The 20,055-nt window shown below is 35.3% G+C and overlaps 1 annotated feature.

Annotated features, from left to right (window-relative positions):
* Positions 18,795-18,874: an enhancer, noted in NCBI's record as "active region_21745". NCBI's record gives its function as "activates an Ori minimal core promoter by ATAC-STARR-seq in GM12878 lymphoblastoid cells {active_cell/tissue: GM12878}" and the evidence as "EXISTENCE:reporter gene assay evidence [ECO:0000049][PMID:35858748]".

Consider the following 20,055-nt stretch of genomic DNA (forward strand, 5'->3'; position numbering starts at 1 on the left):
GCTTATGAGTGAGAACACACAATGTTTAGTTTTCCATTCCTGAGTTACTTCACTTAGAATAATAGTCTCCAATTCCATTCAGGTTGTTGTGAATGCCATTAATTCATTCATTTTTATGGTTGAGTATATTCCATTGTATCTATAGTCAACGATAGTGCATTTTACACTTAAACATTTGTTAAGAGGTAGAACTCATAGTAACTTGTCTTACCACAAGGAAAACAATTGGTAAGTACTTTTATAAAATTATGAAGAAAGATCTATAGTGTTCAGAAAAGGAGTTACTAACTCGCTGAAATAATAAGAAAGATTTTACAAGGATCTCTATGAACCGAGTTCTGAAGAATTAATGAATAAGAGTGTGCTAAAGTAGAGTCAGTCTCTACACATGCTGATGGAGGGAAAACTATGGAGAAGGCACAGAAAGAGGAAAAACTAGTTAATGTCAGGTAATGAGGAGTTAGGCTGGGCTGTCGCACTGGGCACATTGACGACTCGACACCAAGAAAGAAGGCCACAAAAATCATTTCTGCTTCAAATTATAAATGTTCTTTTATGTTTTTTTAAAAAAATTTTGGGTTTCTTCTAGGTAATGGAGAGTCAACAGAGATTTTTAAGGGGTAATATGGCAGGATAGATTTGTTTCCTAATAAAAGATAACATGGGAATGAAATACGAAAGATGGACTGGAGGAAGGAGAGTCCAGTGAGGAAGAGATCAGTAAAGAGGTTCAGTAGGTCATAAAGAAGGTGAAGAGTGCCTGAGGGAAGAGAGAGGCCACGGTGAAGAGAAAACTTAAAATTGAATTAAAATCATCTAGTGACTGGAAATAATGTAGTACCCCAGCAAAGGAAAACATACGAGAGTATTCTCTGTTCCATTCCATCAAAGAGAAAAAAACACACTTCGGGGAAAAAAAAAAGAAAAAAATTTAAAAACTCAATTTTCTACAGAGCCTGACTAGAAACTGTTATGTCTCTCAGGTAAATATATAGTCAGTCCATTTGCAGAGGCTAATGGATGACTTAATTAAGGCCTGACAAGATTTTCTGGGATAATAGATAAAGGATAATTCCCATTTAATAGCCCCCTTTAGATAAGATAATACTGGTATTATTAATAATTTCTCCAGGCATTTCCCATCTTAATGAAGAATTAACACAGGAGTTCACCTTAACATTTGGAACATCTTGCCAAATAGTACAATCTGGAGTCTCTATTTTTGTTCAGTCAAAAAGCTTGACAGCTAGCTGTGGCAGGTTATTAATCTTTGTGTTGACTTCAAGTATAATATCAGAGTGGTGACTTGTCTGGGAGGTTTGTCAGAATGAATTGTTTTCTGAGATAGCAGATGGTTTGGAAATCATCTGCCATGACAGACTGAACAGACTAGAGTTTCAATTCTCTGTTCCTGGGGTGGTGATGAGAAGGACACACACAGGAAATCAACTCTCCTGGTTTAACTGAAAACGGCTATGCACTGGACGGTCAGAGCACAAACTAGTAACAACTATGAAAGATAAATAAGAGGCAGGTGGGAAGTTCCTAATTAACTCCCATCTACTTCAAGTTAATTTCCCTGACTCTACATTATTGCACATATGAGGAAACTCAATTTATGCATATCAAGACTTGATTTTATAATTTTGCTTTTGAAAAATGAGATAATCAACAACAGAAGGAGTATATTAACTAGAGACCTGGATTACAGTGATTCAGAGTGAGGTATCAGGTAATTGAATCTAGTCAGTTTATTCAGAGCAGGATGCAAATAAGTAATTTGGACATTTTGAATGAGCTCTGCCAAGTTAAAAGCCTCATGAAAATTTTGTAAATAGGCTATGCACTTTAATGTAATCTGAGAATAGAGGGTGGTTTACAATAATTTCAGATTTCTATTTAGCTATTATTATTATTACAGTTTTTAAAATGTTTCCCCTGACATCCTTCCTGTGTAAATGAATATGTCCCAGGGACACTCCAGTAAATGAGATGAACTAATGTAAAATATTAAATAATTCATGTCCTTGGAAGCCACTGAGACTTTGCTCATGTTTTCAGATAAAGTAAACCAATGTTGTGATGCAGAAAAAGGCATCTGCATTTGAAAATATCTCAAGTATTATCTTTTAAGCCTAAATGTGTACTTAATTTAAAAAGAAGAAAAGGGAGCATGTTAAAGAATGTATCAGGCACCATTTAAAAATAGTAGAGATAACTAACAAGATTTTGATTTTCTTTTTTTTGCAAGGGGAAAGGGGAGCTCATTTTACTGCCTTTGCCATCATTTCTATGACTATGAATTAAACTGGAGTGTAACAATGAAGTTAAGTGAAATCTGGAGAGGAGCCTGGGACAAAGGAGGCAGTATTGTGGAGTAGGAGGTAGTACGAAATTAATAAGGCCTGGGATATTTGTGTTCTTAGTCCTACTCCCATCAAAGTCAGACCGTGGGGTTGTTATATAACCTCTCAGGAACAGTGTGTTCTTGTCTGTGAAATGAAATAATAATAACATTAGCCTCACAGGGATGTTATCAAAATTAAATGTACAAGCAGAATTAAGTGTTTGCCACAGAGAAGGCACAGAAAATTTAGAAATTACCTAACTACTCTGTTTAGGAAAGGACTTTATACTGCCAGCTTTGCCCAAAAGCGAATTTCTGGACATTTCTAGACATCCCTTCAGCAGTGACAGGGCTAAACTAACGGGATTGTGGGTTACTTTGAAAGCAAATTCCTTGGTTTTAAATTCTAACTCTGCCAATTAGCAGTTGTGTAACAGCTCTTCATTAAACTTATCTTAGTCTCAGTTTCCTCATCTATACAATAAAGACAATAATAATACTTACACCTATTGGATAATTGCAGGAATTAAATGAAATAACCTGCATTAAGAACCTAGTACAGTGTCAAGCACATGGCAGCGACTCTGAATGTTACCTTGGATTATCTATTAGCCCCACGTAAGTATAGCCATGAAAATTTTATCTGCCATAAGGGACAAACATAGAGAATGACTTTTCTCTCTAGCATATCATCTTGTTATGAAAATATGACATATGTGGTTTGTTCCAAAAAGGAACTGTTGCCCTTTTAGCAAACAAGTCTGAGTGATTTCAGTCACTGAGAGGTGAAACTTAAAGTTATTAGTAGTTACACTTTCAATATTTGAAGGCATTAAAGAGTAATTGAAAGTGATCAAGTACTGAAGGAGAGTCAACTCTTAAAACAAGGAGACGACTGGGTGAGCTTGCATTTGCAGAGTTTTTCTCTTGTGGGCACACCTCAGTCCTTACTGTGTGGCAAGGCTGAAGTTCAAGGAAAGACCATATTGTTACTGGCTTGATGAGTCAGAGGACAGAATTTGGAACTGCCAGAATGGCTAGAAAATCAAAGGACAAATGAAGAAAAGCTTTTAATGCTGTATATTATCTGCCGAGGTCCTAAGCTGAACCTTGAACTCCATATGCATGAAGGAGACATCAAAGAGAAATTAAGGCTATAGCTAGAAGGGTAAGATAAATGAGCCAAGATTTCAACCGATACTTACAGCAGGCATTACAGAATTCAGAGTTTGATTGCAGTCAAAGATAATTTCTTGTTAAAATCAAAATAATCATTCTTTAGCAGCAGATTTCAGAATACAAAGTATCTATAATATATTATTTATAATATTCAGCATATAATAAAAAAATCACTAAATATGTGAAAAGCAGAAAGTGTGGCCCATTATTTCAAGAAGACAGCAGTCAGGGTCAGGCGTGGTGGCTCACGCCTGTAATCCCAGCACTTTGGGAGGCCAAGGCGGGTGGATCACGAGATCAGGAGATCGACACCATCCTGGCTAACACGGTGAAACCCCATCTCTACTAAAAATACAAAAAATTAGCCAGGCATGGTGGTGGGCGCCCATAGTCCCAGCTACTCGGTAGGCTGAGGCAGGAGAATGGGGTGAACCCTGGAGGCAGAGCTTGCAGTGAGCAGAGATGGTGCCACTGCACTCCAGCCTGGGCAACAGAGCGAGACTCCGTCTCAAAAAAAAAAAAGAAAGAGAAAAAGGAAACGGTAGTCAGTAAAACTGACTCTAACAGGTTGGAATATATAGATGAGGACTTTAAAGCAGTTATTATAAATATATTCAAGGATGGACAAAGAAAATATTATAAAAATGAATAAACAGATGGGAAATCACAGCAGATAAATGAGCACTATTTAAAAACAATCAAATAAAAATCCTAGGAGTTAAAATTATAATATCTCAAATGAAAATGTCAGTAAATTTGAAGACATATCGAAAGAATTGTCCAATCTGATAAAACAAGCTCACAAACATATATGTAATTCAAATTTTACAAGGAAAAACAGAGAGATAATAGGACAGAAAAATATCTGAATACTGTTCATTAAAAATATCCCCAATCTGATGATAAACAACAATTTATAGATCCAAAAACTTCAGTAAACCCCAAGCAAGTTAAAAACAAAGAAAACAAGGAGCCATATCACAGACAAAATCCTGAAAACTGAAGAATTATGTTAAAGTAACAAAATGTTGAAAGCAGCCAGAAAAATGACTTATTCCATAAAGGAAGAAGGTGGTAACACCAATGACTGACTTATCAGAAAGAATAAAAGCCATAAGACACTAAAAACATCTTTACAGTGCTGAAAGAAAAGGAAAAATAACTGTCAACCTAGAATTTTATAGTCAGCAAAAATATCCTCTGGAAATGATGCCAAAATATAGGTATTTATTAGATAGCAAAACTGAGAATTTACTGCTAAGTAAATTACATCAGGATGCAGAGAAATGACACCAGATAGATATGTGAATCTACAGGAGGTAAAGAAGAGCAACAGATATGGTAAATATGTAAGGAAATACACTTTTTAAATAATTTATTTAAAAGATATATGCCTCTTTAAGAAAAATGTTGTAATACCCTACTATGGAGTTTATAACATATAGATATCATATATGCACACAATATATGGCACTAGTACAAAAAATGGGTTCAGCAAATGGAACTATACAGTGGCACAATTCTTATACTTTATGTGGTACAATACTAACACTTAGTAGAATGTGATAGGTTAGGATTTATATTGTAATCCCTACAGCAAACACTGAAAAATGCTAAGAGGTGTAACTTAAAGCACAATAGAGTAATCAAAATGAAATATTTAGAAAATTATTAACTAAGAGAAGGAAGTAAAATGAACTAAATATTCATATTGAAAAGCAATGTTTGTAAGACTGGATAAGAAGCAAGACCTAATTATATGTTGTAAAAAAGAGATGTAAGCTAAATATAAAGGTAAAGGTAGGAGTCAAAGGAATGAACAGATGGGAAAATATATATTTATATATTATTTGAATAGTAAAAATAACAAAAATAGAATCAGTATAACAGACAAAATAGACATCAGATAAGGAGTATTGCCAGAGATAAAGTGGATCATTTTATAATGATAAAATAATCAGAAGGGTATAGATGTGTATGAGCCTGAATATAGAATTTCAAAACTTGAATTAAAAACTGAGATATCTAGAAAGAAAAGTAAACAAATCTTCATTATAGCTGGAAATTTTAACATCCCTCTTTCACTAATTGGTATAATAGTGATTGATTATAATTAATAGAACATCTAGATGAAAAATCAGCAAGAATGTCTGAAGAAGACAGGAACAATGCTATTAACCACTTTGACCTAATTCACATTTATAAAACATTATATGCAACAAATGTATAAAACAATTATTTTAAAATGCACAAGACACATTCACAAAAAAATGTTATGCTGTGTCATAAAGCAAGTCATAATAAATGTCAATAATTAAATATTACAGAATATGTATTTTAGTAATAACAAATGAGAAATAAATAAATCACAAGATATGTAGAAAAGCCCCAAATATTTGGAAATAAATAACAGTTCTACTAATGGATCAGAAGAAATTACAAGAAAATTTAAAATGTTCTGAAATCATCATATTTTAATACATGTGATGTACCATAAGACGGTTAATTTATGTGCCAATTTGACTGAGCTAAGGGATGTCCAGATAGCTAGTAAAACATTACTCCAGGTGTGTCTGTGAGGATACTTCAGGTAGAGATTAGCATTTGAATCAGTAGACTAAGTAAAGAAGATTCAACCTCACCAACGAGAATGGGCATCATCTAATCCATTAAGGGCCTGAGTACAATGCAAAAGTGAAGGAAGTGCTAATTCATCTCCCTGAACCAGGACATCCATCTTCTGTCCTCAGACATTGCATTCCTGGTTTTCAGATTCAGACCAGAACTTACACTATGGATGTCCTCATCATCAGCACCACCAAGTTCCCAGACTTTCAGAGTTGGACCAAGACTTACACCATTGGCTTCACTGGTTCTCATGACCTTTTGTTTTGGGACTTCCTGCCCTCCATAATTCTATGAGAAAATTCCCATATAGATGTTTAGTTAAATTAATTAATGAGTTTATTTATTTTTAATATATTTTAATTATAAGGTCTGTTTCTCTGGAGAAACCCTAATACATAGCTAAAGCAGACCTTAGAGAAAAATTTGTAACTACTTATATAATCAATATTATATATAAAAGCTAGAAACAGAGGAATAAAAGTAAACTTTAAGTAGAATGTAGAAGGAAGGATAAAATGAAGATATTAGAAGTTAGTGAAATAGATAATAAAAACTAGATAATTGACAAAGTGAAAACTTTGTTCTCTGAAAAGATTAATGAAATCAATAAAACCCAAGCTATAATAATTAAAAATAGAGATAAAACATAAATTTAAAAAATTATGATAAAACTAGTATCAGAAATAAACTAATACATATTTTATTACACATATTTTAGAAACATAGCAAAATATTAGGAACTACTTTATGATTTAAGTAGACAATTTTCTTGATGTATACAGCTTACCAAGACTAACCCGAGATGAAATTTTTAAAAGTTCATAGTTATGTTTATTAGAAAGGTCAAAGTGCTTATCAAACACTTTCTCACAAAGAAAACTTCAGGCTCAGATGGCTTCACTGTGAATTGAATAATACATTTAAAGAGCACATAATACCAATATTACCAGAACTCTCTTAAGGCATAGAAAAGGAAGGGGCATTTACAACTTCTTTAAACAGAATAGAAAACTCTGACACAAACTTGATGAATACAGTACAAAGACCTAAAATTAATGACCAATATCATTTAATGTAGATGCACATTAGCAAATTTAATCCAACAATATATTAAAAGGTAGATATATTAGGACCAAATAGTCTCCACACCAGGAATGTAAAGATTGGTGAAACAGGCTGGACACAGTGGCTCATGCCTGTAATCCCAGCACTTTGGGAGGCCTAGGCTGGTGGATTACCTGAGGTCAGCAATTCGAGACCAGCCTGACCAGTAGAGATGGTGAAACCCCATCTCTCCTGAAAATACAAAAATTAGCCGGGGATGGTGGCACATGCCTGTAATCCCAGCTACTTGGGAGGCTGAGGCAGGAGAATTGCTTGAGCTCGGGAGACAGAGGTTGCAGTGAGCCAAGATCATGCCACTGCACTCCAGCCTGACCGACAGAGTGAAACTATCTCAAAACAAAACAAAACGAAAAGATTGGTGAAACATTCAAGTGCATCAGGCAATATAATTCTCTATACTAAGTGAATTAAATAGATGAACCAAATGATTAACTCCTGTGAGTGACACATACATCTAAAGGTATAGAAAAAGCATTTGGCAAAATTTAACACTCATTTATGAAAAGAAAGAAAGAAAAAGAAAGAAAGAGAGAAAGAAGAAAGAAAGAAAGAGAGAAAGAAAAACTCTTTTCCAATTATGAATAGGAAGCAACTTCTTTAATCAAGTAAAGTGTGTTTATTAAAAACAATAAAAAGCAAACACACATATTGAATGATAAAAGCCTAAAAAATTTCCCTTTATATTCAGAAAAAAGAAAATGATGTCTGTTCTCACGGCTTCAATTAGACATTTTACTAGTGGATTCAGAAGTAAAAGAAAGTAAAAGAAGTAAAGGGCATGGAAACTGGAAAGGAAGACAAAACTTTCTCTTATTTGTAGGTGACATGATTCTTTGCTATCGAAATCTTAAGGAATCTACAAAACAATTTCTAGAACTAACAAGTGAATTTAGCAATATCACGATTACAGAATACAAAATCTGATCGTATTTCTATATTCTAATAGAAAACAGTGGGAAAAAGGAAAATTTTAAATTCCACTACAATAATATGAAAACCTAAGATAAGATAAAAAGTAACAAACATTGCAAGATGGCTGCACTAGAAACTGTAAAACAATGCTGAAAGAAATTAAGACCTAAATAAGTATATAAACATGCTCATACAGAAGCCTCACTATTCTTCTCACTTCACCCAAATAGATCTACAGCAGTAATCTGCAAGCATTTTTGTTTCAGAATCCCCAAAACACCTTAGAAATTATACAGAATCTCCAAGGACTTTACTTTTTGTGAGTTATATCCATCAACATCAATATTATTCAGTATTATAAATTAAAACTGAAAAAATGTTAAATACTAATTTAGTAATTTGTTTAAAAATAGCTATAAATCTATTACATTATCTTAAGTATGTTTATTTTTTAAATCTACATTCTCTAACACAAAAGTAATCTAGGAGAGTGGAACTGTTTTTAAACTTTTGAAAATCTGTCTGGCTTAGTAAAAGACAGCATATTCTCATATGCCTGAGATACAGTTAATTGATGTGACATGTTGTTTTGCTTGCAGTATATGAAGTAATGCTGGCCTCATATAGATAAGTAGTTGTAGAAGGGAGGAGTATTTAAGTAGGCTTTTCACATAACTGTAGATATTCTTCTTTGATATTATACTAAAACTTGCCGAGAAATAAAGGCAGCAGTTACAGTGCACTCTGAAAGGGATATGGCAAGGATAATGCATGGTCCTATCAAACCACACAGATAGGACCACACATTAGGACGTGGATATCAGAGAAGACTCTATAAAAAAAAAAAAAGATGGTTAAACTGAAACCAGAAGATTAAGGAAAGAGTATTCCAGGAAAGGAAAATACTCAAGTGAAGACATGATAGATGCACAGATTCAGAAAGACTTATGATGATCTCAGCTTAGAAGTTACACTGAGTATTGAGCGGGGGTGGGAGGTTGTTAGGGAGAGTAGCAAAAGATTAAACTGAAAAGACAACCGAGCTTATATGTGAAAGCTGTCCCTATGAAAAGTTAATAACTTTAGTCTTTTCTATAAAGATAATGAGAATTTATTAAAGGATTTAAGCCAAAGAATGACAGCGCATAAAAGGTGAAAGTTTAAAGAAAGATTGATGAGTCAGTGTGGGAGCTATAGTAGAAAGGTCCAATACAGTAGACCTGCTTTATCTGTGGTTTCATCCCACTTACCCATGGTAAACTGCAGTTGAAACATATTAAATGGAAAATTCCAGAAATAAACAATTCATCAGTTTTAAATTGTGCGCCAGTCTGGGTAGTGTCATGAAATCTTGTGCCATCCCACTCCATCCTGTCCAGTATGTGAGTCGTTCCTTTGTCCACCGTATCTGTGCCTCTGTTACCCACCTATTCATCTCTTAGCAACTTTCTCAGTTATCAGATCAACTGTTGCAGTATCACAGTGTTTGTGTTCAAATAACCCTTATTTTCCTTAATAATAGCTTTAAAGCACTGGAGTAGTAATGCTGACATATTGTTATAACTGTTCTATTTTATTATAATTATTGTTGTTAATCTCTTAAAGCCTAATTTATAAATTAAACTTTCGCATAGTTATGTATACATAGGAAAAAAACATAGTATATATAGGGTTCAGTACTATCTGCAGTTTCAGGCACCCCTTGTGGGATTTTGGAACATATCCCCCACAGGGAAGGATAAACTACTCTAATAAAAAGTCTTAAATATATACATTGGTTTTGGCAATAACAATATTGTTTGTGACTTAATTGAGGAAAAATGGCAGATGAGGCTATGTCGCAGAGCTAAGGGACGAATGGTGAGGGTAGGCTTAGCTTTCAAGAAGCTTGTCTGGGAGCAAAAAGTGACAGGGCAGTAAGTAGAAGTGACCAACGGGAGGAAGAGCTGAAGGGAAATAGCCGGTATACCAACAAACATTAAAGCTATGAATCTGGAAAAGGACAAAAGATGAACCTTGCATGTGGAGGTATGCCAGATCTGCTCTAATAAAAGTAAAGATGGGTTGAAATTTATATATTAATTATTTTTGAAATTATTTTCCTTACTATGTTTTTTTAAACAGCCCTCATATAGGTTGTTTCGTTTTCCTCATTTTGCTTAGTCAACTTTTATCTCCCAGAACATGAATAAGTAAATCATGATTGAATACTAAATAAATAATTTTTAAACTTCAAATTAATCATGTCTGAATTGCTGAACTTTTATTTTATGCCAAAATCAGGGAATGTTGTTTTGATTACTTCATTTATTTGAAGAATGAAAAACATGACTACATTCAGAACCAAATCTACTAGGACATTCATGTGAGTCCCACTGAAGTCCACACCTCACAAGTGACATATGTACCATATTTGTTTACTTCTTTTGTTGAGAGGATTTGGGCTTTTTGTTTCTGTTCATTTGTAATACAAAAATTCAGCTGGTTACAAGTTCCGGAGTAGTGATTTTTAATACAGTTAAAATGGATAAAATCACTTGGAACCAGTTTATCAAATAGAATCAAAGAATCTTTAATATCATTAACTTGCCTAAAACTGAAGTGTAATTTGTTTTATAATCTGTTTCCCCACCATTTGTAGTTGTGAAGATGCCTGTCATTTGAAATCTTCCTGCTCTAGCAGTTAAGTGAGGAATACAAGTAGACTGGCTGAATGGTCCTTGATAACCGTGTGTAGCTAATGAAAGCCATTTGAGTTTATCAGTTGGCAACTCAGGAGCATGAGGATGACTAGAGTTTATAGCAGTCATTTCTCTCTTGTACTTCTCTGGTATGAACAAATAAATCTTTTCAGAAAACTTGAAGCTATAATGGCTGGAGGCATTGCCATAGAAACAAAGCAGGAACATCAGTAGATCAGTAAGAAAAATATTCCAAAATAAAGAATAACTGGTGAAAGCTGCCCAATTTTATAAAATGCTACATGTTGTGATTCAGATGTATGTGTGAGTATATGTGTGAGTATATGATAGGTATATGATAAGTATAAGTGAGTATATGATAAGGTATTTTAAATAAAAAACAATTGAATTACATTGAAGTGTTATAAAATAGAAGATTAGTTTGATATGTGTGTGATTTTATTTGCAAATTTAAATGGCAGCACAAGTGCTATGTCAATCTAGAGTAAACCAAGGCAGTATTAACTTACCATGTATCACAGATTATACATTGGGGGCATTTGTTCTTAGGAATCAGTGATTGTGCCAGCTGATACTAAATGCACCTCAGAAAATGAAGACCTGCATGTCAAAAACAAATAGGAAACACATTACAAGTATATGCATTCTGAATTTGATTAAACAGATAATGGTGTATATGGGTCAATGGCTATAACACATTGTATTTGGTAGATATTTAGTTTGTGTGCCATTTACATTCACAATTGCATGTTTCAGATTCTTTATTTTTAAAAGTTTGATTTTCCGATGAATTCATTACTCACTACCATGAAATTTTTCCCCACTTGCTGTGATCAGAAGGTAAGTAAAAATCATTATGTTATTACCATAATAATTATAGAGTTCTACGTATTAGTTCTGTATCTAAAATGCTTAAATTGCAATGATGAAAAAACCTTTTCGTGTATTTAACACTGAAAGGATTTATTTTTTGAGCTTCCATGTTGTAGGAGATCATTTTTGTGTTACATTCTGTATTTTTGTGTGTGATGTGATTGTTGTATTCAGAAGTGCAAAGAACCTTAACTCCTTAACTCCTTTCTGTAGATTTATATTGTCTTAGTTCAAACCCTTAGGACTCCAATTTAGTGGATAATCCTTGCTTCTCCACTTGCAAGCACCCTGTTCCCAAGGAAACAATAGATTTTAATAAAGACTACTGGGCAATATGATAGCCCCAAAAAGACGAGGCCCAAATGCATAAACTCATCGCAACTTTGGAGCATAACTCAGTATTTCTCTTCATTTTCCAACAGAAAATATTTTCCAAAAAGCATTGGCAAAAAGCAGAAGTTTTACTTTTAGTTGGGAAACAAGATAGAAAATTTTACATCATATATTAAATAGCAAAACCCTATATAATCACAACTAGATGTCTTTATTTCTCTTTTATTCTACCACTTCATGTACTATGGCATCCTCTTTATTTCCTTCCTTGTTCTCTCCATCTCCTAGCCTCCACCTCCCTGCATTGTCTAAAACTGCCTCCTTCAGTAGGATAACTAGCCACACACAGCTATTAAGCTTAATTGAATAAAGTAAAACATTTAGTTATTTAGTTTCTAATGCACATAGCTACATTTTAAGCACTGAATAGTAACATTGGACAGTAGCTACCGTATTGGACAGCACAGATAATTCTGATCTAAAACGATTAAGATCTTGCTCCAAGCACAGTATTTTATTTTTCCAAAATAATACAGAGAGAAAATGAGGAGGAAAAGCGGAAGGATAGAGGAGCAAAAGAAAAAAGTCCGTGTTGCTATCTACCCTCACTCTTGGAAGAAAGCAGTCGAAGAGCTCCTTATTCCAGTAGAAACACAATAGCAACTTAGTGCCAAATCTACTCTCTTCTCATCCTGGAGGAAGTGAGGGCAAAGGGAGCCTATAAACTACATCTTTAGTGAAACTAAGAGACAGAGAAAATTTGAAAACTACAAATTGCCTGTGTGGGCAACAGCAAGGAAAACCAGCAAAATCTGCACGGAAAGCTATAGCAGCATGGTAGGGAGAAGCATGGAGGACAAAGGTGGTCTAGAGCGGACAGATCTCAGAAAAGAGCAGCAAATATGAACTACTATAAGGGAAAGGTCTCTCTTAAATAGAAACTGCTGTGACAAGGCTGAGGACTAAAAGGGCACAATCACTGCAGCTGCTGTGACATAAGATACTGAAAGCCCTCTTGGATCCTCTTGGTGTAAGAAAGCACCACCTTTCAAAAGACTAAAGGATACCTTGGAAGCAAGGACTATGTTCTTGATAGCAGTGTTTAGTGAAGGCCTCAAGCTAGGTCAGAGAAGCATCAGAGGCATGGCTAAGCAGAGAAATTTCATTATAATGAAACAATCCATCTCTTTAGCCCTAGACTCCTAGCAAACTATCTCACTCCCTAGACTCCTGCTCTGAACCCCACAAAAGTCTCCTGCTAATATATTGTCTGGAAATTTTAATTCATTTAAATATGAGTAATTGTAAACCCCACAGCATCCTGATAAGGGCTCAAATATGTCCCCAAAAAAGTTATGTTGAAATCCTTGCCCTCAGTATCTTGAGATGTGACTGTATTTGGAAATAAGGTTGATGCAGATGTGATTAGTTAAAATGAAGTCATACTGGAGTAGGGTGTACCCTTAATCCAATATAACTGATAGCTTTATAAGAAGAGAAAAGACCGGGAGACACAAGAGAGAACACCATGTCATGAAAAAAGGCAGAGATTGTAATGCTACAGCTGCAAGTGAAGGAATGCTAAGGATTGCTGGTAAACTACCAGAAATTAGGACAGGCAAGGAAGGATTCTCCCCAACAGCTTTCAAAGGGTGCATTCCCCTGCAAACATTTTGACTTTGGACTTCCAGCCTCCAAAACTGTGAGACAATACATTTCTGTGGTTTTAAGCTATCCACTTTGTGGACTTCTTTGTCACAACCTTGGAAAACTGATACAATCCTTTCAAAGATATCTTAAAATAGGAAATAGCAACAAAAGTTCCTTAATAAAAGAAGAAACTTAACAGAAAAAAATGTTGCCACGAAAAGATACAAGTTGCAACACAACATTTTACCAACAATATAGATACAATTACAGCCAGGAAGGAAATACAAGGACTCAGGATAACATGACTGGACAAGAGAAGGTGATGTCTAGACATACGCAGTAAAACTGTAGGATTTAGGGGAAACTGTAGGAGTTAAGGAAAAATGGAGGAAAAAGAAAATTAGAAATAAAGAATAAATTACAGAATCAAAAGAGATACTGATACCGTAGAAAGCACAATAAGAGATGTAGGTGAGAAAAATGAGAAAATCAAATGAACATTAATAGAAATAAAGATATAGAAAGTATTGGAAATAGTATGATGAGTAAAAGATAAGCCAAAGACATCCAAAATTCACATAATTAGGACTGCAAAGAAAATCAAACAATGAAAGAGTATCAATATTTAAAAATTTAATTCAAGAAAACTTTCTTAAAGAATATTTGAATCTGGTTATTGAAGAGAAAGCTCTAAACCAGGGAAGGGGTACACTATAACACAGAATGGTCAACATTGAGACATAACCTGAAGAAAATGTTTAATTTTAAAGATAAAGAATCTTTGAGCAGCAGGAGGAAATATCAAAATAATTTTAGGGGAAAGAAAATCAAACTGGTCAGACACCCCCCAGCAAATTTTTACTAGAAGGCAGTGAAAAAAATATCTCCAAGGAAAGAAAGAAAAACACTCAAGAAAAAAAGTGTGTGTCAAGATTTTTATACCTAGTCAGACTGTCCTTTGAGCATAGTGGCTATAGATAAATAAAATTTTTTTTCAGACACATCTGCAAGAACCTAAAGAGAATAATTCACATAAGCCCCTCCTATTAAGAGACAAAACTCAACTAAAATATAATTTTAAAATAGCAAGAAAAGAACAGGTGGTAAGGCTTTAATATACTTATGATATATTTAAGATGAGAACACATGGACACAGGAAGGGGAACATCACACACAGGGGCCTGTTGTGGGGTGGGGGGAGGGGGGAGGGATAGCATTAGGAGATATACCTAATGTTAAACAACCAGTTAAAGGGTGCAGCACACCAACGTGGCACATATATACATATGTAACTAACCTGCACGTTGTGCACATGTACCCTAAAACTTAAAGTATAATAATAAAAATAAGTGATAAAATGAAAAAAAAGTAATGTGTTTCAAATTACTGGCTAGTTTGAAAATGTATAACTATTATCAAAAACACAAATAAAAGAGAGAAAAAAGTTGATAAGTGGCGTAAGCTCACCAGTACTTTGCCTGGAATAGCTACAAATTAAAAGGCATCATTCAAAAGTGGCAAATGACATAAATCTTAAGCAATTGCCCATTGGTCTCCCCAGTTGAACCCTATTGATTTTGCACGAAGAATTTTATGCAAGACTACCTGTAAAAGAGTGCTGATCACAACAGAGCAAGCAATAAAATGGGGACATTTACATCTCAGAAGTGTCTATCATTTATTTAATCAAAGTTAAGCCTTGATATTCCAAGACTAATTGGTGTCATTTTCCCTTATGCACTCTCTGTCTCTCTTCTCTCTCTCTCTCTCCCACACACACACACACACACACACACACACACACACACATTCTTTTATACAGAGACCACTGATAATGGACACTATGTACATCAGTCTGAGGTCAGAACATTTCAAGTAAAATTGCACTTTGGCTGTATAAATCGTTGTCCAAGAAAATAGACCAATCTTCCAGTCATCATAGCAAAAGAAATTTGCAAGTAGAAAGGGAATGCATTGGAATAGCTCAAGTAAAGGACTAGGCTACGGAAGGACAAAACTCAGCTCTGGGGAGTCTGCATAGAAGGAACTGATAAACAGTCTTTTCAGGATGCCACCTTTGAGGGGATTGAGCCTTAACCCTTGCAAGTATTTTTGATGGTGTTCTCAAAAGTAAAATTCCAATAAACTGTATGGATCACATGCTATAACACCAGATTGTATGCAATAGGTAAAATATAGCACCCCAAATGGAAGAAAATTTAGCAGGAAAAGATAGAATAAATAGTGAGGTCTAAAGCAGCAGGTGTCCATTAGGAATGCCATGGTCTTTGTGCTTACACTGGTGGGTTGGGAGAAGGGACCAGAAAATTTATTTAAATCTCAGAGATGTTAGAGAAGCTAAGAGGTAGAGAAGCACTGATGAAGGCACAAGACATAGAAACAGTTTATGGGGGCTTTTTCCTGCATATCTCCACCTCCTGTTCACTATTATTTTTCCCAAACATCTTCCTCATCCCATGTAACTATTCTGTATTCACACTCACTCTTGCTTGTTCATGTCTTTCTCCCACTGGCATTTCATGACTCCTGCCCAAGGATGTAAAACCTTTCCATTTATCGCTACCTTTCTGTAATTCTGCGACAGTCCCTTTAAGAGAATGCACCTGAATTTGCCCATATTTCTCATGGCATTAATGAGTAGTAGATGTCTATGAAAATCATCTGTTACCTTTCTAGGGTACCTGCATCCATTTATTTGAAGGCTGTCTTGGATATTTGAAACTTTCAGCTCAAAGGAGTGTCTATGCTTAAGAAAATGTACTAAATCCCCTTAAGTCAGAAGAACCACTCACTGTTCAGAACCACAAGCTCCAAAGAACCACTGTTGTTTGGGAAGATACTGCCAAACCCATAACCAGCTTCTCCAAGACCCAATAAGTTGGCAACAGCTTTTTCAAAAGTTTCACAATTTTATTTTCTGATTTGATAGTGTAAAATTTCCATCTGCTTTCACTTTGGAGCAGTTTGGAAAATACTAGAAAAAAATTAGGAGGTAACCAAATCATTCCTAGGTGAATTTTTATTTTTGTGATGACACCAACTGGAATTAAAACAAAACAAAACAACACAAAAAATATAAAGACCGCCACATAAGCCATCTGCTACTAAAGGCCTTTGGCTATTCTTTTCCATATTTACTGCCAAGGGAGGTCCCTAACATATTACAATCTCAAATTTAGGATTCCAAATGGCAGCCTTTTAAATAGCAGCAAAGCACTAGCAGTGGAAACACAATAACAGATACTTGTCATTTTATAGGTTTGAATATTTTTATATTTGTAATAAGTACATTTTGAGATAAACACATGAAGATGAAAGAGCAGAATGGCATTTTAATCATTCTTAAGCAGGAAAAAGATAACTATTTTTTTTTAGCATGGAAACTTTCCACTTTTAGTAAGAGAAGATTGAGAGAAGGCAGAGTACACTGTCAGGTTCAATTAATTGTTGAAACCAAACAAAAATAGCCTCTCATGGTTCCCATTGTTCTGCAGCTGTTGGCTTCATAATGCCTGTTGTCTCCTTCCTTATGACTAATCATCATGGTTGCCCAGTTTCCTTTCTTGATTTTCTACCAGAAGTTGTGATGTGTCATAGGAAGAAAGGGCAACCCTCCAAGAATTTCTTTCCAGGTCTTTTGAACACATCCATCCTGGAGCATTTGCCTTTTTCTTCAAATTGCTGAATCTCTTGACCTCCCTGAACTAAGAAGCCATGTTTGTGAATGTGCATGCTTCAGTCGTTTGATAAGGGAGCCTAAGTAGCTTCCTGCTTTAAAGAGGTCAAAAAGATGGGAGTCCCGAATGGAATGTGTGCAAAAGTCTTCAGCCTAATGTGTTTTTCTTTTACAAAATCTCACCTTGCTTCTTGTTACTCTGTTGAACAGTTCCAGATTGCTAAAAGTATCACCTGCTTCCTGAGTTTAGCAATTTCTAAAAGTGTTATATCATGAGTATATAAAATCCCATTTAGTTGAATATCAAAATTCTAGCCACTTAACTTCTCAGAACACATAAAAGAACTTCAGAGTAAAAGGAAAAGACTACTGACATAGTTGTAAAACCTGATGCACTAAGACTTAAGTACTTTTGGTATTAAGGAGAGTGTTACAATTTTGAACACTGTCTGGCATACATTAAACATCAGATAAGTGTTTATGGCATTATTGGAGCTTAGATTAGCTGTTTTTAGACCTAAATCTAGCAAACTTGGTTATTATGTTTCTCAGGAAAAAAGAAAAAGATTACCAACAACGTTTTTGAATTATGGCAGAAGACAACAAAATGAGAATGTTGTGAAAATCTACAGCTGATATCTAGCTATAAAAATGAGACCAAAAAAATTACAAAACACAATTGCAATAGTTGGTCCATTTGATTTGCCCGAGGATGCAAAATAAATTAGATCACCCTTCAGAGACACCACCCTAATGATCATAGTAACTACTATTAAATTATCAAGGAAAAGTCCAATTAGGTTTCATTTATGCTAAGAAAGCAATATAAAGTAAAATAAGATTAAAGTTTAAAGGGAGCGGACTGAAGCACTAAGGATTTTCATCATCTTGGAAAATCTACTTAAATAGGGCAGCTCATTCACCAAAGATTTTAGTTCTCAGTGGGGCCTTGCTGAATTCACTTATGCTGTCAGATCTGAAGATATCCTATCACACAGTCTCACGCTTTACATAGCAAAAAGATTAGGGTGAACACAATCCTCTCTCCTCATGTTAGACCATGTCTGTCTCCCTTAAAAAAAAAAAAAAAAAAAAAACCACTGTCTGAACTTAGCTAGCCTCCAACCTGCCTTTGGGGAGAGTGCAGCTCCTTTGCTCAGAATGAGTCACTCAGTCTGTTTGTGCCCCACCTAACTGGTGTGGATGCTGGCTTTGGTTCCTTATAAGTCCATAAGGCAGCCTGGCTGAATTTATGATTCAGAGTAACCTTTAGTCCATCTCCTGCCTGTGTGTGCTTGCTACGAGTTCTCTCCAGGTCACCAGTGAGTTTTTCCTCCTCTATCATCATCGAAACCATTCATGGCCACATTGCACCTCACACTTATGCCCCAACAGCTTTATACATACCCAGTTCTTTTACCTCCAGGCCTTCATCCCCAGTGTGTCCTCTCCCTGACAGGCATCTTTCCCTTTCTACTAGTCCCAGCCACCTCCCACCACCTTTTCTCCCAGCTCAGTAGTTCTCAACTTTGGACAATTTTGTCTCCCAGGGGACATCTGACAATACCTCAAGACTTTTTTGATTGTCATAACCTGAGGAAAGACACTGCTGGCATCTAGTGGGTAGAGGCCAGGACTTCCATCGAACGTCTTCCAACGTACAGGCCAGTCCTCCAAACAAAAAATTATCCAGTCCAAATTGTCAAAAATGCCAAGGCTGGGGGATGCTGCAATCTTCTCAGTCTTCATTCTTACATCTCAGTTCAAATCTCACCTCCCTTAAAACCTTCCCTGAACATTATTCTTCACTACAGGAGAAGGGTTAGCTATCCCTACTCTTTCCTCTTTTAGTACTTGATATAATATCCATTCTTGAGCTTTCTATACCATAACAAAATTACCTTTGTCTACATTTCCCCCGCCCCACCCCCACCCCCACCCCACCCCACTAAACTCTTAGCTCCTTGTGAGCAGGGGTGGTGTCTTTTTCATCCACATCTATCCAGCACCCAGACTAGTGCCTGGTTTATTGTAAATGTTTTTAAAAATGTTTGAGTGATTGAATTTAAAAGATTAATTTTGTTTGAAACTTTATGTCTTTGCTTTTTTGCTAATCGTTTGGCAACATTAGAGACACCTTGCTGATCCCCAAGAATCTTCTGATCCATTAAGGATCTTTAAATATAGAGTAAGTGAGCCTCAACTCCTTACATTTCACTATGTCTGTGTTCTGGAGTTCCTCAGAAAGGATGACATCTTTGAGGATAATCTTTGGATGTTGATAACAGTGCATTTAAAGTTAACTGAGAGGCTGTCTTTAGCTGATAATAATCTGCTGAGTTGGATTTCTTATCTAGTTAACAGTATAGTCACTGAAGCCAGATTGCTTGGGTTCAAATCTAGGACCTGCCACCTACAACCTGTGTGACCTTGAGCATATTAATTAAACGTTCTGTGCTTCCGTTTTCTTTCTGAAAAAAAAAATGGGGATGATCATGGTATGAAACTCATAGATTTGTTATGAGAATTACCTGAGTTAGTATTTGTAAAATGCTTAGGACAGTGCTTGGTACTCAGTAAGTGGTTGTTAAACAAGGTTGGAAGGATAG

Source organism: Homo sapiens, chromosome 4 (assembly GCF_000001405.40).
Source record: "Homo sapiens chromosome 4, GRCh38.p14 Primary Assembly".
In the NCBI taxonomy this organism is placed as follows: Eukaryota; Metazoa; Chordata; class Mammalia; order Primates; family Hominidae; genus Homo; species Homo sapiens.